This window comes from Homo sapiens, chromosome 19, assembly GCF_000001405.40.
Source record: "Homo sapiens chromosome 19, GRCh38.p14 Primary Assembly".
NCBI classification, from domain to species: domain Eukaryota; kingdom Metazoa; phylum Chordata; class Mammalia; order Primates; family Hominidae; genus Homo; species Homo sapiens.
In genome coordinates, this window is record NC_000019.10 from 56,661,406 (window position 1) to 56,685,314 (window position 23,909).

At 49.1% G+C, this 23,909-nt stretch overlaps 1 protein-coding gene and 1 long non-coding RNA gene across 5 annotated transcripts in view; one reads left to right on the plus strand and one right to left on the minus strand.

The window, feature by feature from the left end:
* Positions 1-574: 574 nt before the first annotated feature.
* ZNF835 (zinc finger protein 835) lies at positions 575-10,352 on the minus strand. Of its 3 annotated transcripts, none has more exons than XM_005259382.3 (2): positions 10,196-10,352; positions 575-3,840 (listed from the first exon to the last, which is right to left on the minus strand). In XM_005259382.3, the coding sequence occupies exon 2, from the start codon at positions 3,791-3,793 to the stop codon at positions 2,180-2,182; it is 1,614 nt and encodes a 537-aa protein (XP_005259439.1). In that variant the 5' UTR covers positions 3,794-3,840; positions 10,196-10,352; the 3' UTR covers positions 575-2,179. The 3 variants fall into 3 exon arrangements, with proteins under 3 accessions (XP_005259439.1, NP_001005850.2, XP_005259440.1); NM_001005850.3 differs by having other exon boundaries at positions 10,171-10,352; XM_005259383.4 differs by having other exon boundaries at positions 10,144-10,352.
* A 221-nt stretch (positions 10,353-10,573) lies between these two features.
* The window catches only part of LOC105372473 (uncharacterized), a 38,797-nt gene continuing 25,461 nt past the window's right edge, over positions 10,574-23,909 (plus strand). For both annotated transcript variants that reach the window (XR_001754023.3, XR_936110.4), the window contains exons 1-2: positions 10,574-11,026; positions 22,896-22,966. This is a non-coding gene — a long non-coding RNA (uncharacterized LOC105372473). The remainder of the gene's footprint in view (positions 11,027-22,895; positions 22,967-23,909) is intronic.

Consider the following 23,909-nt stretch of genomic DNA (forward strand, 5'->3'; position numbering starts at 1 on the left):
CTCCAGGGCTGGTGCTGAGGATGTTCACCTGTTCATCCATTTACTTGGCCTCTCCTGAGGACCTACTGTGTGCTTGGCCTGGGCTGGGGGATGTCGGGGGTGAGGGGGTTAAGGAGAAACTAAATGTGTGGTCCTTGTCCCTGAATGACTCCGGGGCTGGTGCTGGGGATGTATAACTCTTCATACTGTCACTGACAATTCTTGAGGACCTACTGTGTGCTGAGGCCTGGGTGGTCAGTCAGGAGCCAAGGGAAGAACCAACTGCTTGGTCCCTGGCCCTAAAGAGCCTGGGCAACAGAGCGAGACTCCGTCTCAAAAAAAAAAAAAGAAGAAAATTCTGCATATCATATGCTACCATTTGTGAAGAAAGGTGTACTATATATCTTTCCAGAATATTCTATGCATATAAATATTCATATATATGCTTACATATAGTAAGCATTTGCTTCTAGTGAGGGGGACTTGGTAGCTGGGAGACACAGGAGTAAGAACAGTTTTTTTTTTTAACTTTATAAATTGTGGACTACATGAGTGTATTCCCCCATAAAATAATTTTCCAATGATTATAGTCATGTGAAGTTATGAGATTATAACTTTAATTCAACATTGTAGTAGGTGGATTACGTTCATAACTCCTACTTTTCACCCTTCCCTGGGACCACATGCTTAGGAAGGCTCTTCCTGTGCTGATCCTAGGCTTGGCTAGGAGGCTTGCTTTGGCCTGTGGGACTAGATGCAAATGTGACAATATCAGAGACTTGAAAGCATGCCTGTGTGTCCACTCCCTCTCAGACTCCTGCCACCTCCCTGAGAACACACCCAGGTGAGATGTGAGTCAGGAGAAGAAGATCAAATTGGCCCAGCTGAGCCCTCCTGGTCCAGGTCCAGACCAAGCCTGGTCCAGACCAACAGAACCAGCAGCTGACCTCCAGATGCATGAGAAATAGTAAATGGATAAATGAGGGCTGGATGGTTTGTTACACAGCAAGAGCTGACTGATACAAGCATTAAAGTCAGGTCTTTGAGTTAGGGGGAAAAATGGTGGAGATGGGTAGGTGTTTCCTCATACTGAAAAAAAGACTAGGCCCACTCTAAAAATCTTTTGTAGAGGAGAAGCACTCCCTTCTTCTAGAATAACTTTCAGCTCTAGATTTCTCCTGCTCATTTTCTCTAAGCACTATTTCTATCTTAGTGAATCCAGATTTCTTCTTCAGACTCTGCTCCTTTAGTAAATATGCCAACTTGGCCAAAGAAACCAAACCTTTTATTCACTTTAATTCAATTAAATTTACTGAGCAAGGGCTTACTCAATAAAATCAACAATGAAAAGGCCAGCTGGCCAGGCACCGTAGCTCAGGCCTGTAGTCCCAGCACTTTGGGATGCCAAGGCAGGCAGATCGCCTGATGTTAGGAGTTCGAGACAGCCTGGCCAACATGGTGAAACCCTGCCTCTACTAAAAATACAAAAATTAGGCTGGGCGCGGTGGCTCATGCCTGTAATCCCAGCACTTTGGGAGGCCGAGGCGGGTGGATAACGAAGTCAGGAGATCGAGACCATCCTAGCCAACATGGTGAAACCCCGCCTCTACTAAAATACAAAAAAACTAGTCCGGGTGTGGTGGCCGGGCGCCTGTAGTCCCAGCTACTCGGGAGGCTGAGGTAGGGGAATCACTTGAACCCGGGAGGCGGAGGTTGCAGTGAGCCGAGATTGCATCACTGCACTCCAGCCTGGGCGACAGAGCAAGACTCCGTCTCAGAAAAAAAAAAAAAAAAAAATTAGCCAGACTCCTGTAATTTTAACTACTCGGGAGGTTGAGGCAGGAGAATCACTTGTACCCGGGAGGCAGAAGTTTCAGTGAGCCGAGATCGCTCCACTGCACTCTAGCCTGGGTGACAGAGAGAGACACTGTCTCAAAGAAAAAAAGAAAGAAATTAAAGGCCAGCCATAGGTGTTTCTGCAGGTCTACTTGCCCGTGCCCCATTTATAATTTTGCACCAGGAAGACCGCAGGGGAGTCTGGCAGATGTGAGGTACAGTCTTAGCCCTGTGTCTTCCCCACTGTGTGCCCTCAGGCAAGTTAACAAGCTTCTCTGAGCCTCGGTTTCCTCACAGGAAGCGTCGGGGATAACACAGTATCTCCCCCATAGCATTGTGAGGTTGGAAAGGAGGCCCTCAGCTCTTAATCTTCTGCTGGTCCACGCGGGTTTCTGCCAGGGCACCCCTGTTGACAGGTTTCTCCTCCCTGTGAGAGCCCAGGTGTTGAGTCAGGCGTGGGAGCTGGGCAAAGGCGTCCCGAACTGTCTGCATGCGTCCTCTGGTGTCGGATGAGCGCGGAGGAGAAGCTGAAGGCCTTCCCGCAGCCGCTGCACTCGTAGGGCTTCTCCCCGGTGTGCACGATGTGGTGCTGGATCAGGTAGGAGCGGTTGCTGAAGGCCTTGCCGCACTCGGGGCAGGTGTAGGGCCGCTCGCCCGTGTGCGTGCGCTGGTGCAGGGCGAGCGAGGAGCCCTGGCTGAAAGCTTTGCCGCACTCGCCGCACTTGTAGGGCCGCTCTCCGGTGTGGATCTTCTGGTGCTCTATAAGCGAGGACACGTGGCTGAAGGCGGCCCCGCATTGCAGGCACCTGTAGGGCCGCTCACCGGTGTGCACGAGGCGGTGCTGGAGGAGGTGGGAGCGGTTGCTGAAGCGCTTGCCGCAGTCGTGGCAGGGGTAAGGCCGCTCTCCGGTGTGCGTGCGCTGGTGCTGCGTCAGGTGCGACACCTGGGTGAAGGCCTTGGCGCACTGGCCGCACGCGTAGGGCTTCTCGCCTGTGTGGATGCGCCGGTGCTCGGCCAGAGAGGCGCTCTGGCTGAAGAGCGCGCCGCAGTCCTGGCACGTGTAGGGCTTCTCGCCCGTGTGCACGCGCCGGTGCTGGGTCAGGTGCGCGATCTGCGCGAAGGCCTTGGCGCACTGGCCGCAGCGGTAGGGCTTCTCCTCCGTGTGGATGCGCTGGTGGCGGATGAGCGCTGAGGAGAAGCGGAAGGCCTTGGCGCACGCGGAGCACTCGTAGGGCTTCTCACCGGTGTGGATGCGCTGGTGCTCTATCAGGGACGAGCGGTTGCGGAACGCCTTGGCGCACTGGGCGCACGCGTAGGGCCGCTCGCCCGTGTGCACGCGCCGGTGCTGGGTCAGGTGCGTGACGCGCGTGAAGGCCTTGCCGCAGTCGGCGCAGCGGTGCGGCTTCTCGCCCGTGTGCGTGCGCCAGTGGGACGCCAGGTACGAGCCCTGGCTGAAGGCCTTGCCGCACTCGTGGCAGGCGTAGGGCTTCTCGCCCGTGTGCGTGCGCTGGTGCAGGGTCAGGTGCACGCTCTGGCTGAAGGCCTTGCCGCACTCGGGGCACGCAAATGGCTTCTCCCCGGTGTGGATTCTCTGGTGTAAGATGAACGCTGAACAGTAGCTGAAGGCCTTCCCGCAGTCCCCGCATTTCCACGGCTTCTTGGGGCCTCCACCTCTCTCCCGCTGGCGGCTGTCAGGATGCCTCTCCTTCGGGCTCTCCCCAGGCGCGCTGCACCTCCGGGAACTGCTGTCGTCGGGGACACTGGCTTGGGTAGCAGCAGGGCTCGATATGGTTCTTGGGATTCGGCTGAATTCATCGCGTTCCTGCATGCTGTCCCCAGCAGGGTCTCCCTTGCAGGCCACGGCCTCTGGCTCTGGACAGCTTTCCTGGTTTTCCTGCAGGTCCTCAACCTGGCCCTCGTGTTTCCAGTTTCCTTCCAACTCTGCGCCCTGGAGGGCGACGCTCAAGAGTCCCTCCATCCTCGATCCCTGGGCTGCTGTCTTGATCTCACATCTTTTCTCTGGGTCTGAAAAGAAAAAGATAGAAAAAAAAATTAAATGTTGCCACTTGTCCTGAGCTGGAAAAATGGCTAACAGCTGAACTGGTAAGAACTTAGCATGGGGTCCCTGGACCTCTGTGCCAATGACATTTTGGGTCCAATAATTTGGTGTGGTGGGACCCATCCTGTGTGTTGTGAGATGTTGAGCAGCGTCCCTGGTCTCTCCACACTGGCTGCCAGGGACACTACCCCTCAACCCCTGAGTTGTAACAATGAAAAATGTCTCCAGGCCGGACGTGGTGGCTCATGCCTGCAATCCCAGCACTTTGGGAGGCCAAGGCAGGTGGTTGCTTGAGCCCAGGAGTTTGAGACCAGCAAACTGTCTGCTGCCTGGGCAACACAGCAAGATCTCATTTCTACAAATGAAAAAAAAAATTAGCCAGGCATGATGTTGTGCACCCGTGGTCCCAGCTACTCAGGAGGCTGAGGCAAGAGGATCAGCTGAGCTCAGAAGGTTGAAGCTGCAGTGAGTAGTGATCACACTACTGCACTCTAGCCTGGGTGACAGTGTGAGACCCTGTCTGAATTTTCTTTAAAAAGTCTCCAGACACTGCCAGGTGTCCCCTCCCCTGGGGACAAAATTGCCCCCAGTTGGGAATCACTGACTTAATGGAACTAAAAACAAATTTAAAAGATCCCTGAAAAAGAAAAAAAAAGCATGAATCTGTCAGCTCTTAAAATATGGCCCTGTAATCTGGTGCTGTGAACTGAATTGTGCCCCCTCAAAATTTATACATGGAAGCCCTAACTCCCAAGGTGATGCTTTGTGGAGATGGAGCCTTTGGGAGGTGATTAGCTTTAGAGGGGGTCATGAGGGTGGGGCCCCCACAATGGGACTGTTTTATTTTTTTTTTGACATGGAGTCTTGCTCTGTTGCCCAGGCTGGAGCACAGTCTTGGCTCACTGCAACCTCCGCCTCCCGGGTTCAAGCAATTCTTCTGCCTCAGCCTCCTGAGTAGTTGGGACTACAGGTGCACGCCACCATGCCCGGCTAATTTTTGTATTTTTAGTAGAGAGGGGGTTTCACCATATTGGCCAGGCTGGTCTCAAACTCCTGACCTCAGGTGACCCACCCACCTTGGCCTCCCAAAGTGCTGGGATTACAGGCGTGAGCCACCGCGCTTGGCTGGGACTAATGTTTTGATAAGAAGAGGAAGCGACACCAGAGCTCGCTGTCTGTCAGGTGAACACATGGCAAGAAGGCAGCCGTCTGCAAGCCAGGAAGTGAGTCCTCAGTGTGGTCTGACCATGCTGGCACTCTGATCTCAGACTCCCAGCCTCTAGCACTGTGAAGAAATAAGTGTTTATTGCTTCAGCCACCTAATCTGTGATTTTTTTTGTAAGCTGGAGCTAAGATAACTGGAAAGACAGTTTTCTTTTCTGGGGAAAAATCAGTTGAAACTTTAATTCCCAGTGTGACAGCGTTTGATGTGGGGCCTTTGGAGGATGATTAGGTCATGAGGGCATCCTCCTTAATAGGATTAGCGTCCTTATAAGAGGAGACACCAGGGGGCTCACTTACTCTCTGCTCTCTCTGTCCTCTCTGCGTGTGAGGACACAGGGAGAAGGCGGCCATCTGTAAACCAGGAAGAGAGCCCTCACCAGACAGAATCAGCCAACAGTGATCCCAGATTTCACATTATGGGGACACTATTCAACTCACTATGCTCCCCTTCTACAGGGCTCCATCAGTGAAGGAGCTGCCCAGGGTCTCCCAGGCTCAGAGGTTCATGCTGGCTCGTGGGCCCAGGGTCGTTAGAGATGGTGATCTCAAGCTATTGCAGGTTACCCTGTCTGCTTTGCACATTTTCAGTGGAAAGCAGGGATCTGTTTTTATATGAGCCCAGGAAGTCACTGTTTTTTAGAAAGCCATAACAGAAGCCATACATATAGTTACTTCTAGTGGGGCTGTGATGCTGAAGGATTTATACCAATTGCCTGGTGTACACTGGACCTGCACGCTGGCGAGAAACTCACCACTGACTTCTGATGCTTTAGTTCTAACAGAATGGGAAGACAGATGGACAAATGACCTCCTGGTGCTGAGAGAGGGAAGGAGGCAGCTGCCTGTGGATCCACTGTGCTGGGGCTAGCCCCAGAGGAGGGGGCTCACACTGCTGGGAGGTCCTTTCCAGGCTGTGTGGCTGCAGGTAAGTGGCTACCTGCTCTGAGGCTCTGCCTGGTTTTCTCTCTCTAAACAGGGCTCCAGCCTCCCCTTCTCCCGAGGGACATGGCAGGTCTCTCAGCAAGCTTGGCCTCATGTTATGTGTGGGCTCAGCCCCTCACACACAGGCATTCCCTGAACCAACTAGTAGGCTGTGTGCATACAGCAGAGAGTGCTCGGCCTTTGGCTCCTCCGGGTACACTCCTGCTGCTGCTGGACAGGCTACGTCTGAAGCTTGTCCTCCCCACTTCCTGTGTGAGATCCTAACCCTTTGTGGTGGTGCTAGGAGGTGGGGCCTCTGGGAGGTGATGATGACATGAGGCTGGAGCCCTCAGGCGTTGGATTCCTGCCCTTATAAAAGAGGACCCAGAAGGCTCCCTTGCCCCTTCCTCCAAATGAAGACACAACAAGAGGGCCCGGTCTATGAACTAGGAAGCAGCCCTCACCAGACACCAAACCTGCCGGCACCTTGACCTTGGACTTCCAGCCCCTAGAACTGTGTGGAAATAAATGCTGTTTCTTTCTTTCTTTCTTTTTTTGTTTTTTTGTTTGTTTGTTTTGTTTTGTTTTTGAGATAAGAGTTTCGCTCTTGGTGCCCAGGCTGGAGTGCAGTGGCACAATGTTGGCTCACTGCAACCTTCACCTTCCGGGTTCAAGCGATTCTCCTGCCTCAGCCTCCTGCATAGCTGGGATTACAGGCATGCGCTACCATGTTCAGCTAATTTTTTGTATTTAGTAGAGATGAGGTTTCACCATATTAGTCAGGCTGGTCTCAAACTCCTGTCCTCAGATGATCCACCCACCTTGGCCTCCCAAAGTGCTGGGATTACAGGCATGTGCCACTGTGCCCGGCCAATAAATGCTGTTTCTAAGCCACCAGAGTATGGCATTCCGTCACACCCCAAAGGACCTAAAATAGGGCTTTTTTTTTTTTTTTTTTTGAGACAGGGTCTTGCTCTGTTGCTCAGGCTGGAGTGCAGTGTTGCAATCATAGCTCGCTGCAGCCTGGGAATCCTGGCTCAAGTGATCCTCTCACCTCAGCCTCCCAAAGGGCTTGGATCACAGGCAGGCACCACCAACCACACCTGGTCAAGACAGGGCTTTTGTGTGGGCTATTCTTTCTGCCTGACATGCTCTTCCCGCAGCGTGTGCCTCAGCAAGAGGACAAGAGGAGACCCTGAGGGAGTGATGATGTTTGTGTTCAGGGTGGAGAACACAGCAAGTGCAAAGGTCCCAGGGCAGGATGGTGACAAGGGTGGCAGAGGAAAGGTAAAGGGGGTGGGGCTGGACAGAGCAACTGAGGTGCAAGGCAGGGGAGATGCGGTAGAGTGGGGTGGGGGTCAGCTCACACAGGAAGTCACGTGTGCTGGTAAGAACTTGCTGGTGGGGGCCAGGCTGGGTCGGCTCAGGTGCCACGTCCACCGGCATCCCCGGAGTGTGCAGGGGTACCCACCTCGTGTGTAGGGGGAGGGCAGGTGGGTTCACAGCGGGGTTGGGTAAACCTGGGTGTTGTGCACACACAAAGGAGCCCAAGGGGAGACACAGGCTTGCTTGGGGGCAGTAGAAGAAAGCTGTCTACTCCCAGCACTTCTGACACGTGGGCTTTCTCCACACCAACAACCAAGTCTCCAATCTGCTCTGACTGGGAGGCACAGGCAGCTACCAACCATAAAACTGCCTCAACCCCTCCTTGGGTTTGGTGATTTGCTCACATAGCTCATTGAACTCAGGGACATGCTTTATTTACGGTTACTGGTTTCCAATAAAGGATACAACTCAGGAACAGCCAGATGGAAGACACACAGGGTAAGGTATAAGGAGGAGCTCAGAGCACCATGCCCTCTCTGGGTGCTCGACAGCCCCAGAGCTCGGCAAACCCTAAGTTTAGGGTGGTTATGGGGGTTCCATGACACGGGCGTGACTGACATAGGTGTGATGACACTGGCCATCGGTGATGAACTCAACTTCCAGCCCTCTCCCCTCCCAGGAGGTAGGGGCTGGCTGAAGGCTGGAATGCTCATCAGGGCTAGCTCCCGTGGCAACCAGCCCATCCTAGGGGCCTATCAGGAGTCCTCCATTAGCATAAATGTACTTGGGGGTCTACCAGGAGTCCTCCATTAGCATAAATGTACTTGGGGGCCTATCAGGAGTCCTCCATTAGCATAAATGTACTTGGGGGCCTACCAGGAGTCCTCCATTAGCATAAATGTACTTGGGGGCCTATCAGGAGTCCTCCATTAGCATAAATGTACTTGGGGGCCTATCAGGAGTCCTCCATTAGCATAAATGTACTTGGGGGTCTACCAGGAGTCCTCCATTAGCATAAATGTACTTGGGGGCCTATCAGGAGTCCTCCATTAGCATAAATGTACTTGGGGGCCTATCAGGAGTCCTCCATTAGCATAAATGTACTTGGGGGCCTACCAGGAGTCCTCCATTAGCATAAATGTACTTGGGGGCCTATCAGGAGTCCTCCATTAGCATAAATGTACTTGGGGGCCTATCAGGAGTCCTCCATTAGCATAAATGTACTTGGGGGCCTATCAGGAGTCCTCCATTAGCATAAATGTACTTGGGGGCCTACCAGGAGTCCTCCATTAGCATAAATGTACTTGGGGGCCTATCAGGAGTCCTCCATTAGCATAAATGTACTTGGGGGCCTATCAGGAGTCCTCCATTAGCATAAATGTACTTGGGGGCCTATCAGGAGTCCTCCATTAGCATAAACACAGGTGTGGTTGCAGGGGGCTTATTAAGAGTTGCAGAAGACACTCCTTCTACCCCTGTCACTCAGGAAATTCCAAGGGTTTTAGGGGCTCTGGTACCAGGAGCTGGGGATAAAGATTAAACATATATTTCTTATTATATCACAAGATCACAGGAAGACACATGCATTACATCACACTCTGACACACACAGGGTCATACACAATCATACCTGCCCAGACACACACAGACATGCAGAGACACCCAAACCCATATCCAGGGACACACAGTCGCCCTCCTAACCCCCATGCAAGGAGGCAGGTGGGAAGCCATCACCTGCAGCCACACTCACACATGCACACAGGGTCCCGGGCACACGTAGCTACACACACACCCAGCCCCACACGTAGCTCCCTGTGTGAAGAGGTGCACAGAGACGCACAAGGTCACACATGCCACCTGCTCCACACAGGCCGGCCATTACTGGGACACACCCACAGGGGATGGCTGGACACATGTGCAGTCACACTCGGTGGATAGAGCTCCAGCATAGCCAAAGCCCACATGTGCAGCGTCTCCATCATGTGCAGATGCACACACTTCAGACAGCACGGCACTCTACAGGCTCGCACAGCCAGGTCACCCATCATTGTGCTGGCAGGCACACGGGCCGAGCCAGCCTACACGGCGGCACACCCAGACATGCACACGTGGGGTCACACACCTCACATCCAGGAGAACTTTCAGACTTGCCCAAAGGCAGCCACACGTGTATGTGACATGCTGTGATATGCAGACACCGCTTCACATGAACGAGCACATAACACACCGATAAAGTGTTACATGCCTTTACCTGCAGTCACCTGCCTGGGCTGGCACCACTGAGTGAGCAGGTGCAGACACAGTGACACTCGGGGACGGGCTCACAGGCAGTCACACACCTGCAAGGCCTGGCACCGCCGAGTGAGCAGGTACAGACACAGTGATGGGCTGGCACCGCCAAGTGAGCAGGGGCAGACGCTGTGACACTCAGGGACGGGCTCACAGGCAGTCACACACCTGCACCTGCTGGTACCGTCGAGTGAGCAGGTGCAGACGCTGTGACACTCAGGGACAGGCTCACAGCCAGTCACACACCTGCACGGCCTGGCACCGCCAAGTGAGCAGGTACAGACACAGTGACGGGCTGGCACCGCCGAGTAAGCAGGTGCAGATGCAGTGACAGGCTCACAGGCAGTCACACACCTGCACCTGCTGGTACCGTCGAGTGACCAGGTGCAGACGCTGTGTTACTCAGGGACGGGCTCACAGGCAGTCACACACCTATACGGGCTGACACCGCTAAGTGAACAGGTGCAGACACAATGGCACTCGGGGACGGGCTCACACGCGGTCACACACCTGCAGGAACACGCGCACACTACACACCGTTGCTCTCGCCTCCCGGTATCACCTTCGAACGCGCTGGCCGGCCCCCTCCTAGCCTGGTGCAGTCGGCTCCGCTTCTACTCAGTCTCGGGTCCTCCTGGGCCAACGCAGACCCTGGTGCCTCCTTCCTTAGACGAGCTAAGGTCAAGACTTCTGCTGCTGCGGAGGAGCCCGCGCACCAGGCCGGGGTGGACTGCGCCTGCGCATCGGGCCCGCCTGGTTCTTAGGAACTACGACTCCCAGGGGGCGCTGCGCGCTCGCCGGCACCGCGACTAAAGCTTGCAAAGCCTGGGTCATCGAAACTACAACTCCCAGAAGGCTAAGCGTCTGCACACGCTAGGTCCGCAGGGCGCTGACCCCTGGGGGCCCGAGGAGCGCCGGGCTGCTGCCCCGAGCCCCGCCCACTACAGCCTCAGTGCATGGCGGTGGGCGCTTCCAGTAACTCAGGGGTGGGACTTTTTTCTTGCTCAGGGGATGAGGCCGAGCCCACAGGCTTAGAAAGAAGGAACTTGAGTCCGGGCACCTGTCATCCCAGCGCTTAGGGAGGCCGAGGCGGGTGGATCACCTGAGGTCAGGAGTTCGAGACCAGCCTGGCCAATATGGCGAAACCCCCGTCTCTACTAAAAATACAAAAATTAGCCGAGCATGGTGGCATGCACTTCCAGCTACTTGGAAGGCTGAGGCGGGAGAATGGCTTGAACCTGGGAGGCGAGGGTTGCAGTGAGCTGAGATCGCACCACTGCACTCCAGCCTGGGTGACAGAGCGAGACTTCGTCTCAAAAAAAAAGAAGAAGAAAGAAGGAAGCTGAGGTTCAGACAGGCTAAGTCCCTACTGCAGGCTGCGGAATCTAAAAAGGTAGGTGCCAGGGTTTGCAACCCACACTTTTATTTTGGTCTCAGGTAGCTGATGTCATTCCAGTCTATGGCAAAGAAGGTGGCAAATCCATTAACATAGATGAAGAATTTCATTTTACTTTTTAGTTTTATTTATTTATTTATTTTTATTATGTATCATGCTTTTAATACAAACTTTAAAAAATCTGGAACAATAGAAACTGTACAGATTTGATCAATCTTTTTGTTTTGTTTTTAAACTAAAATCTCTAAACACACCAATGTCCTATTCCAAAATATTGCACAACATTCTGAATACAAAACCCTTGATTGTATTCCTCCTTCACTGAAGAAAAAACTTCATGACCCTGCTCCCCGGGCTCCTCTCCAGGCTTGCGTCAATGCCCCCTTCCCATCCCTAGGGAGAAAACTAGAGAATCTATAACTCACTGCATTGAGAAAAAGACATCATTCTGGACTAACAGTTTCCATTCTTCAGAAGATAATCCACCTTTTGATTTGTTCCTGGGAAACAGGGATAGATAGAGGATGGGGAAAGGGGAGAAAAGGTTTTATTTCTCCTCTTTTTTTTTTAAAGTTTGTTTTTCCTGAAAAAATATGTTTCTCTCATCTTTTTAAGAAAAAATCTTGAAAAGAAAAAAATTGTTTTTACGTTAGAAATATACATATATTATATATACCTCTTACATTTTACAAATGTAGCAAATTATTCAATACAAACGGACACCAAAAAATGTAAAAAATAAAAAAAAGTTTTCCTAAGAACCAGGTAAATTAGTGCAGATTTCTGTTTTTGTTTTCTTAAAAAAAATAAAATTGAAGCAAAAGTGCCTAGATTTGAGACAAGACAGACTGAACTGGGCCCAAGAGCCCAGCACTGGAGTCATGCTCCTGAACACACATTTTTCTTCGTATTTCAAAAGACACAAAGGGGTTGGTCTCCCCCCCTCTCCCTACATGTGAGAAACAAGCAGACCTGGTGTGGGTGGGTGCCTGTGTGTGTGGATGGGAGGAGGGATAGAAGGGGATGTAAGGCAGCATCCAACCTTTCCCAGAGAGAAGCTATCTGCTGGGCCTGTCACCTGTGTGGGAGCCGAGGATGAGGGAAAGGGTGGCCCAGACTGGGCTGGCCCCTGAGAAGTCTAGGGGAACAGATGGTGCTGGGCTGAGAAGCCAGGACATTGCCTGCCGGGGGAGGTAGAGCTGGTGCCTACTGCAGGGAGAGGAGGCTGGCAGTGCCGGCCTGGGCTGGACCCACTGCCATAGCAGTTGCCTACTTGGGGTCCCTGGGTAGGATGGAGTGGGTGGGGTGCCAGGGGCTTTGGTGCTTTCTGGTGATGGGACCCTGATGCCAAGTGCCCACTTTGCAAAGATGAAAAAGTTCATGACCCTGCTCCCTTGGCTCCTGTCCATGCTTGCCTGGCCTCCTGGGGTTGGAGGAACAAGCTCTCTCCTGGCAGAGGCAGGAGAGAGTTTTATTTTTTAGAAACAGTTTCGCTTTGTTGCACAGGCTGGAGTGCAGTGGTACAATCACGGCTCACTGCATCCTCGACCTCCCCAACTCTAGTGATCCTCCCATCTTAGCCTCCTGAGTAGCTGAGATTGCAGGCATGTGCCACCACACTGGCTAACTTTTTTTTAACTTTTATTTTTTGTAGAGATGAGGTGTCGCTATGTTGCCCTGGCTAGTCTTGAACTCCAATCCTTCCACCTCGGCCTTAAATAATTTTAATAGTTGACATGCACATGGCATTTACTATTGGCCGGCATTATTTTAAGGTGCCTGCTCTGAAGGAATTCTGTTAGCCTTCCTAAATTATTCCCTTGGCCATTGGAAACATAGGCATGAGATCATTTTTAGATAATTGGAAAAGCAGAGAAATCTGTGAAGATAGAATGGGAAAAAAAATGCATTTCACTAAACCAACATGCCATTGATTGTGAGATTCCACATTACTTTATGTAGCCCCACGGCTGCCCTTAAACCATGACACATGCTTTATTTACAGTTCATATTTTACTTATTCGTAGACCTCAAGAGGCATTCTGTGCTTCCCTCTTCCTTCTGGAAGCTTCATGAGAAGGGACATTTTCCTCAAAGGATGGACAACAGAAACAACTCAAATATTCATTTCCTTTAAATATGGTTTTTAAGACAATTTTCTTTAGAAAGCCACATTTACCTGTTGGGGGTTGATTTATGCTCACCCCCCTCCCAAATATATGTTGGAATGCTAACCCCCTATTCCTCAGAATGTGACTTTATTTGGAGACAGGTTCTTTACAGAGGTAATAAAGTTAAAATGAGTAAATAGGGTGGGCCATAACCCAAAATGACAGCTGTCCTTATAAAAAGGGTGCATTTGCACGCAGAGACACGCATAGAGAGAACATGATATGTAGAGGCACAGGGAGAAGGCCGCCATCTGCAAACCAGGGAGAGAGGCCTGGAGCAAATTCTTCTTCATGGCTCTTAGAAGGAACCATCCCTGCCTACACCCTGATTTCAGATTTCCAGCCTCCAGAAGCGTGAGGCGATAAATGTCTGTTGCTGCAGCCACAGGTTGGCGGTGCTTTGCTGCAGTAGCCTTAGCACCTGATAGATGGTCTCTTTACATGTCAAGCACATTGCAGCGCACATTTGACACACAGGGAGATGGAAGCTCCTGGAGGATAAGTGTTTTGTCTGTGATTTTGAAGGTTGCAAGTGGAGGAACTGGGATTCGAACCCCTCTCTGTGTGATGCCTATGCCTCCTCTGTGTTAACATTTATTTTTACTTATTTTTATTTTTTAGTTTTTGTAGAGATGAGGGTCTCACTATATTGCCCAGGCTGGTCTTGAACTCCTGGGCCCAAACGATCCTCCTGCCTTGGCCTCCTGGTCTTGGGATTACAAGCATAAGCCACTGTGCCAGGCCTACACTTTAAAGCACTTTGCCTCTTTAAAGCACTTTGCCTCTTTCATTTCCTAGCCTGGAGAAAATGTACTTCTGTGGTCACTAAGAAAACACCTTCACAATCAGGCAAAAATGTCCCCAGAAAATGCTGGCTTGGGCTGCTGAGGAAATGCACAATCAAATCAGGCCACACAACGTTTCAGAGACCCTGAGGCAGGGACTCCATGTCCCAGCTATGTTTGTCACACACCAGTAGGCAGCCTCTACCCAGGGGTGGAAGATTCTAGACCCAGCTATAGGCTCTGGCAACCAGGGCAGGCAGCTCCTTCCAGGAACCGGTTTCTGTGGTTTTCTTTGGTCACTTCCATTAAGTCTTAAACACCCCCTGGAAGAAAATGAAAGTGTGACGTTGAGGAACGTGAGATCAGATGGTGGAGTAGTTTTCTAGAGCCACCATAACAAAGCATCACAGACCAGGGTCTTAAACAATGGAAACTTATTTCTTCACAGTTCTCAAGAATGGAAGTTCACGATCAAGTTATGGCCAAGGTTGGTTTCCCCTGATGCCTCTCTCCTTGGCTGGCAGACGACCATCTTCCCCATGTCTTCATATGGTCTTCCCTCTGTGTGTGTCTGTGTCCTAATCTCTCCCACACTCTTTTTTTTTTTTTTTTTTTTTTTTTTAAGAATGTCAGCCATGGGCCGGGTGTGGTGGCCCACACTTGTAATCCCAGCATCTTAGGAGGCTGAGGCGGGTGGATCACCTGAGGTCAGGAGTTCCAGACCAGCCTGGTCAACATGGCGAAACACCATCTCTACTAAAAAAAATAGAAAAATTAGCCAGGCGTGGTGGCAAATGCCTGTAGTTCCAGCTACTCAGGAGGCTGAGGCAGCAGAATAGCTTGAACCCGGGAGGTGGAGGTTGCAGTGAGTGGAGATCACGCCACTGCACTCCAGCCTGGGCGAGAGACTGAGACTCCATCTCAAACAAAAAACAAACAAACAAACAAAACAAAAAACAATGTCAGTCATATTGGACTTGGGACCCATGCTAATGACCTCATTTTATCTTAATTCCCTTTCTCCATCTCCAAGTACAGTCACATTCCAAGGAATGGGGGGTTAGGACGTCAACATAAAATTTGGTGGTGGGGCACAATTTGGCTCATCACAATGGGTAAAATGGGGCATTAAGCTCACATCCTGAATCTAAAACCCACAAGAGGCTGGAGTACTTTGCTTTCCCTGGTTCATGATCACCGTGCTAACTGGAGTGTGGTCACCTTGAAATTGGCTTAGAGGAAGATTTATGATATCCTCCCAAGTCAAGGGCTCAGGCTCTAAACACCGGCTTAAATAAGAGCTGAGTGAAAGTCCACAAATCTTGTTACATCAACTTCTGCTGGACTTTGTTGGACAGATGCTGAAGTCCTCTGTGGAGAAACACCTTAGCAACTTGTCAAAGTAGTTCATTTCTAGAGATCTCATGACCAATGAGCAATTATTCCAGATTCCCTGTGGGTTGAAATATTCTGAATTTTATGCTGCATTATCATTATAACTGGGTGATCTCTGGCTTAGCATCACGTTTGTGACCTCCTGGCTTCTAAATGTTTAGTGCCCACCTGGCCTCTACCACCAAAAGATCCTATTATTCCCACCAAGCTCATGGAATCCAATTTCCTCGTGGCATTTTCTCCATCCTACAATGGACAGCAGCCACAGGGCTCTTCACCGATCCAGAAGCCTCTTCACCTTACAGTGTTGGTGAGGCAAGTCTCCCATGGGTCCTCTGGGAGTATGTTTAAGGGTACCTGGGCAGTTTGCCTGCATAGACCGATGTCTACATTCACGTTTCCTTAAGCTTCCAGACTCCCCCCTTTACCGTGTACTAGGAAATGGCTGGGATTTTGACCTCAGGGGGGTTGCCAGTCCATTCCAGCTGCTATCACAAGACAGCATAAACAGGGCAGCTTATAACGAGCAGAACAGGTGATGTATTTATTTATTTAAACAGAGATGAGGTCTCCCTGTGTTGCCCATTCTGGTCGCAAACTCCTGGGCTCAAGTGGTCCTCTTTCCTCGGCATCCCAAAGCGCTGGGATTACAGGCATGAGCCACTGTGCCTGGCCTTGAAAAGAATCATTCTGAAGGCTAGAAAGCCTAAGATGAAAGTGCCAGGAGATTCGGTGTCTGGTGAGGACCCAATTCCTTGTTCGTAGATGGCACCTTCTTGCTGGCTGTGTCCTCACAGGGTGGAAGGGAGAAAAGAGCTTTCTTGGGCCTCTTAGAATTATGCTAATCCCATTCATGAGGGCTCAGCCTTCGTAACCAAATCACCTCCTCAAAACCTCACCTCCCAACACCATCACCTTGGTGATTAACTTTCAACATAAAAGTTTTTGGGGGGTGACACACACATTCAGGCCTACAGAGGTGGAGTGATCTGCAGATGACTGTTGATTCAGGCGTCACCGCTCCAACACTGGAGACTCTTTTTTTTTTTTTTTTTTTTTGAGACAGATTCTCGCTGTCTGGAGTACAGTGGCACGATCTCAGCTCACTGCAACCTCCACCTCAAGCAGTTCTCCTGCCTCAGCCTCCTGCGTAGCTGGGACTACAGGTGTGTGCTACCGCGCCCGGCTAATTTTTGTATTTTTAGTAGAGACAGGGTTTCGCCCTGTTGGCCAGGCTGGTCTCAAACTCTTGACCTCAGGTGATCCACCCTGCTCAGCCTCCCAAAGTGCTGGGATTACAGGCCTGAGCCACTGCGTCCGGCCCTGGTCCCTTGATCTAGGATTTCAGCCTCCAGAACTGGGAGAGAATAAGTTTCTGTTGTTTAGGTGACCGAGTCTGTGGCACTTTGTTATGGCAGCCCAAGCTCTCTGATATAGAGGCTAAGCAACTGCCATGCTTCATTTACTTAATCAGCTGTGGGTCGGCACTGTGGGTTGGGTTTAGTCAACTAGTTCTTCTGTCTTGGCTGGGCCCACTCGTTCATCTGTGCTGAGCTGGGTTGAGCGGCGGCTGGCCCATCTGTAGCCTCTCATCCTCTGCCAGGACAGCCTAGGGTCATTTCCATGGCAGCCTGGCAGGGTTCCGAGAGAGTTAGTAGGAACCGTCAAGCCCGTTGAGCACAAGGCTCTGTACTGACAGCTTTGCACTTCCACTGCAAGCTACTGGCCAAAGCAAACCACAGGTGCAGCCCAGATTTGAGGGATGGGAAAATGGCCACAGGACAAACGGCATGGGTTCAAGGAGGGGTGGAATACTAGGATGAGTTTTGCAATCTGTCATGTGCACATACACACATGTGGTGAGTTGGATACAGCCTGGTGTGTGTAATTACAAACACCCCTCTAATAAAAATGTGCAAAGATCTTTCAATTACTCAAGTGATGTTATTTCCAAACCTTTCCTATCAGACTCAACCCCCTTTAGATACGATTATTCTCATGCTGGCTGGGCGTGGTGGCTCACACGTGTAATCCCAGCACTTTGGGAGGCTGAGGTGGGCAGATCGCCTGAGGTCAGGAGTTTGAGACCAGCCTGATCAACATGGAGAAACCCTGTCTCTACTAAAAATACAAAATTAGCTGGGCATGGTGGCTCATGCCTGTAATCCCAGCTACTCAGGAGGCTGAGGCAGGAGAATTGCTTGAACCCGGGAGGCGGAGGTTGCAGTGAGCCAAGATGGTGCCACTGCGCTCCAGCCTGGGCAACAAGAGCGAAACTCCGTCTCAAAACAACAACAAAAATTATCCTCATGCTAAAATGTATTCCCAACTATGACTTGAATTTCTCTATTTATTGGTAAAAGAAAAATTCGGCCAAGCGCGGTGGCTCACACCTGTAATCCCAGCACCCTGGGAGGTCGAGGCGAGAGGATCATGAGGTCAGGAGATCGAGACCATCCTGGCTAACGTGGTGAAACCCTGTCTCTACTAAAAATACAAAAAATTAGCTGGGCGTGGTGGCAGCCGCCTGTAGTCCCAGCTGCTGGGGAGGCTGAGGCAGGAGAATGGCGTGAACCTGGGAGGCGGAGCTTGCAGTGAGCCGAGATTGCGCCACTGCACTCCAGCCTGGGTGACAGAGCAAGACTCCGTCTCAAAAAAAAAAAAAAAAAAGAAAGGAAAAGAAAAGAAAAAAAAGGAAAAATTCAGAGGTGGCATGTGCAAAACTTGCACCATACATTTATATAGCTGATACTCAATTGAAGAACATGTATGTGATTTTCAGATTCTTGCTGTGATAAATGATGTTTCTGTGAACATGGTTTTTACCAGTTTTTAAAAATGGGTGATATAATAAATAGAATGTGAAGCTGTATCAGTCAGGGTTCAGAAACAGAATCAATAGGAGATACTATGTACCTATCCACATATATATTATAGATGTATATATTAATAGACACAAATTGATCACGTGAGCCAATTCCTTAAAATCTTTCTCTTATCTCTCTCTGTGTTGTCTATATGTATACATATATAATAGAGATTCTGGTGGAAGGCTCTGAGATCAAGGGGGAAGGGAGGCAGGCCATGAAAAAGTCACTCCAAGACAGATTGGGGTCCTCAGCTCTGCAGACCCAGGAAATTCAGATATATGTGTGTATATATACCTGTCCCTATCTATCTATCTATCTATCTATCTATCTATCTATCTATCTATCTATCTATCTATCTATCTATCTATCCATCTGTCTATCTATCTGCCTGCCTGCCTGCCTGCCTGCCTGTCTGTCTGTCTGTCTGTCTATCATCTAATGTATGCAGAGGTTGAGATTTATTTTAAGGAATTGTCTCACACAGTTGTGGGAGTTGGTTTGTAGGGCCAGCCAGCAGGTGGGAAACTCAAGCAGACATTGATGCTGAAATCTTGAGGCAGGATTTCCTCTTCTCTGGGAAACCCTGAGTTTTACTCAGAAGGCCTTCAACTGATTGGATGAAGTCCACTTACATTACCGAGGGCAACCTTTTCTTAAAAAAAACTGGTTGTAGATGATAACCACATCTACAAAATAACCTTCACAGCCATGCCTGGATTAGCATGTGATTGGATTACCAGGCACTGGACCCCAACCAGGTTGGCCCATAAAACTCACCGTTAGCAGGAGTGTTGTGGGGAGTGGGCAGGAAGGGGTATGTAGAAAGAAATGACTGAGGAAGACTGATGAGATAAATATTGGTTCTAAGTACAATTAGGAAAGATCACCAAGTCCTACTTTACCAAAAAAAAAAAAAAAAAGAAAGAAGAAAGTAGGCCAAATGTAAACCATGATACATGTTATTTTGTTATTTATTCATTTTTTTTTGAGACGGAGTCTCGCTCTGTCGCCCAGGCTGGAGTGCAGTGGCGCGATCTCGGCTCACTGCAACCTCCACCTCCCGGGTTCACGCCATTCTCCTGCCTCAGCCTCCCAAGTAGCTGGGACTACAGGCGCCCACCACCATGCCCGGCTAATTTTGTCTTTGTATTTTTAGTAGAGACGGGGTTTCACCGTGTTAGTCAGGATGGTCTCGATCTCCTGACCTCGTGATCTGCCCGCCTTGGCCTCCCAAAGTGTTGGGATTACAGGCGTGCACCACCGCACCCAGCCCACTGCTTTCCATTTTTAAGGTCTTTATCTAGAATTAGAATTGCTGGATCACATGACAATTTTATTTTTAATTTTTTTTGGAAACCTTCAGACCATTTTCCAGAATGACTGCATCATACCACATTCCCATCAGCAGTGCAGAAGGGTTCCAATTTCTCCAAATCCTGCCAATATTTCTTACATTGTGTTTTATGGATAGTAGCCATGTTAATGAAAGTGAGGTGGTTTCTTATTGCAAAGATGATGATCTTTTAAATTTTTTCAGTCGTAATTGCTTAATAATAGAATGTGTGGCTGGACACGGTGGCTCATGTCTGTAATCCCAGCACTTTGGGAGGCCCAGGCGGGCATATCATGAGGTCAGGAGATCGAGACCATCCTGGCTAGTACGGTGAAACCCCGTCTCTACTAAAAATACAAAACAAAGAAAAAAAAATTAGCCAGGCGTGGTGGCAGGCGCCTGTAGTCCCAGCTACTTGGGAGGCTGAGGCAGGAGAATGGTGTAACCCGGGAGGTTGAGCTTGCAGTGAGCCGAGATCGTGCCACTGTACTTCCAGCCTGGAGGACAGAGCGAGACTCTGTCTCAAAATAAATAAATAAATAAATAAATAAATAAATAATAATAATAATAGAATGTGTGTGCCTGCTGGGCATTCTATACCTTCTCAAACATTGGCATCAGACTGGACTATGCCACCCGCACTTCCTCATCCTTGTTGATTTTCGTGGGTTTGATTCACAGCAAACACTGCCAACCCAGCATCACAAAGCATGATGTTATCAAAGGAAGTGTAGAGAGATCTTAGGCTGAAACTGTGGAACCCTGGAGGTGGAGGTTCATGTGTGTCAGATGTCTAATACTGCTACGCGTCCCTAAAATTGAAAGAATCAGGGTACCTGGGCTGACAGTTGCAGCTGTGGGGATAGAGAGGCAGAAAAGCAGGAGGTGTTCATTGGAGGGGGAGAGAACGGAAGAGCTCCCCTGGTCGCCTAGCAACGCGGAGACGCCCCACAGGGGACTCTGGTGAGAACAGGCAGTGGCAGAGGGGCTATTCTGCCTCAGCCAAATGTAGCTGCAGAGACTCAGGAAAGTAATGTAGATGTAGAAATTAGAAATTAATTAATTTCTTTAATTAATAACCCTCAGTTGTATATTGAGACGGTCTCCACTGATTTTTTCATGTCTACCGTTTGCATAGTTTTAGGCCAGTAGGTCCCAAAATGTAGTTTAAGGACTCCTGGGGGAATCAAGACCCTTTCTGGGGGTCCATAATTCCCAACATTTTCCTAAGAAAATTAAGAATTTACTTGCCTACCGACTTTTCAATTTATCTGCATGATGTAATACTGCAAATGTTTAAGTGGCAGATTTGAGAATCTAGCTGTCTTGTACTAAGGCGAACATTAAAGAAATTTGCAAAAAAGGCCGGGTGCAGTGGCTCACGCCTGTAGTCCCAGCACTTTGGGAGGCCGAGGTGGGCGGATCACAAGGTCAGGAGTTTGAGACCAGCTTGGCCAATATGGTGAAACCCCGTCTCTACTAAAAATACAAAAATTAGCTGGGTGTGGTGGCGGGCACTCGTAGTCCCAGCTACTCAGGAGGCTGAGGCAGGAGAATCGCTTGAACCCGGCAGGCTGAGGTTGCAGTGAGCTGAGATCGCGCCACTGCACTCCAGCCTGGCGACAGAGCGAGACGCCGTCTCAAAAAAACAAAACACAACAAACAAAAAAACCCAAACCCTCAGTTGTATATTCCCAAACCCATCCTCAGTGGAGACGGTCTCCACTGATTTTTTCATGTCTACTGTTTGCATATTTTTAGGCCAGTAGTTCCCAAAATGTAGTTTAAGGACTCCTGAGGGAATCAAGACCTTTTTGGGGGTCCATAATTCCCAGCATTTTCCTAAGAAAATTAAGAATTTACTTGCCTACCGACTTTTCAATTTACCTGCATGATGTAATACTGCAAATGTTTGAATTAAGTGGCAGATTGGAGAACCTAGCTGTCTTGTAGTAAGGTGAACATTAAAGAAATTTGCAAACATGTAAGACAATGCTAATTTTCTTACTAATTCTTTGGAAAATACTGTATAATTGCCTATAAAAATTGTGAAATGTTAATATATAATAAGATTATTATTTTTAAGTTTTAAGTGTATAATTTTCTCAGCTTCAATATGTAATTGTATGTAAATATAGATCATACAAAGAAAAAATTTTAGGGGTTCTCAATATATTTAAAAAATATAAAATTGGCCTGAGATGAAAAACTTTAAGAATTACTTTCTTAGGTTAAGTTTTTAGATATCAGCTGGCTGGGTGGAAGGAATGTGCATACTCGGTGCTTTTCATACACGGTGTCAAATTCCCATGAAGCTATCCAGTTGTTCCGTGGCTCTAAATTCTCATGGGAAATGTAACCCAGATCTGTCTCGCTGTTATCAATTTTTCACGCTGCCTACCATAATTAACCCAGTGAAGAATTTCAGTGAAAGGTAGATTGAGCTATTTGTACCCAGCCTTCCAGAGAATTCCCTTTATATAGGATAAGTTTAAATTCTTTTTGGGGGGCCGGCGGGGGTGGGGGTGGTGGTGTCTGGAAAGGAGGATCATAGGATAAGTTTAACATTCTTAGATGAGAAAGTCAAATGTAGATTCCTGAGTTCACAAACCCCAGCCCCAACATTCATGATGTGGGTGATCCTGGGGAAGACATCTGTCCTTCTGAGCCCACCTCCTTCACTTAGAAATGGGCACTGGGGGTGGGGAAGGATTGGACCTGGTGCCCCCCAAGACATTGTAAGAATCAAGAAATAGTAGCTAGGTGGGGGTTTTTGGGCATTTCTACCATAAATATGAAATATAATTTTATTTTAATAATGTGACAAATAAGATAAAGAGTCATCTTCTTATTTATTATTATTATTATTTTTTGAGATGGAGTCTTGCTCTTGTTGCCCAGGCTGGAGTACAGTGGCTCGATCTCGGCTCACTGCAACCTCTGCCTCCCAAGTTCAAGCAATTCTCCTGCCTCAGCTTCCCCAGTAGCTGGGATTACAGGCGCCCACCACCAAACCTGGCTATTTTTTTGTATTTTTAGTAAAGACGGGGTTTCGCCATGTTGGCCAGGCTGGTCTTGAACTCCTGACCTCAGGTGATCTACACGCCTCGGCCTCCCAAAGTGCTGGGATTACAGGTGTGAGCCACCTTGCCTGGCCGAGAATCATCTTCTTTGTGAATTTTTCCCCAACCACTGTATCGATAATCGTTAAAACAAATTCCTCCTCAATGCTGTCATAAGAGGTATGCTGGTTCTCTTGTTCCCCATCCCTCATGGGGATATAACTGACTGTTTACCTGTTTCCCCCACCAGGTCATGAACTCTGAGAGTTTGAGATGAGCCTCTAAAAGCTGTATCAATAGCACCTTGCACTGTTGAAGCAGGTAAGTGTTTTCCTTGTTACTTCTTAAGTTCAGTTGGAAACCCAACATAGCAAATCCTCTAGAATGCAGCTGAAGCAGTACTAAGGCTGGGTGTGGTGGCTCATGCCTATAATCCTGTAGGGAGGCAAAAGCGGGAGGATTGCTGGAGCCCAGGAGTTCAAGACCAGCCTGGGCAACACGGCAAGACCTGGTTCTCCACAAAAAGGAAAAAAAAATGCTAAGAGGCAAGTATATAGCAATAAACTCCTACATCAAAAAAGTAGAAACATTTCAAATAAGAGATTGGGGGCAGTGGCTCATGCCTGTAATCCTAGCACTTTTGGAGGCCGAGGTGGGTAGATTGCTTGAGACCAGGAGTTCGAGACCAGCATGGGCAACATAGCGAGACCCTGTCTCTACAAAAAATCAGAAAATTAGCCAGGCGTGGTGGTGCAAGCCTGTAGCCCCAGCTACTCGGGAGGCTAGGGTGGGAGGATTGATTGAGCCTTTGAGGTAGAGGTTGCAGTGAGCTGAGATTGTGCCATTGCATTCCAGCCTGGGTGACAGAGCTAGACCCTGTCTCAAAAAAAGAAAGAGAGAAAGAAAGAGAAATAAATAAAGAGAGAAAGAAAGAAAAGAAAGAAAACAAACAAGGAAGGAAGAAAGAAAAAGAAAGAGAAAGAAAGAAAGAAAAAGAAAAAGAAAGAAAGAAAGACTTCAATAACCTAAGGATGCACCTCAAGAATCTAGGAAAGCGAGAACAAACCAAACCCAAAAATTAGTAGAAGAAAGTAAATAAAGCGCAGAGCAGAAACAAATAAGATTGAGACCAAAAAAATACATAAAAGATCAATGAAAAAAAAATTGCTTTTACATCATGGTCTTGACCTTGCAGGGATGGCCCCTCCCAGTTTTAGCCAATTTCTCGAGTGATAAATAACTTGCTTGAGAGCATGCCTTTTAT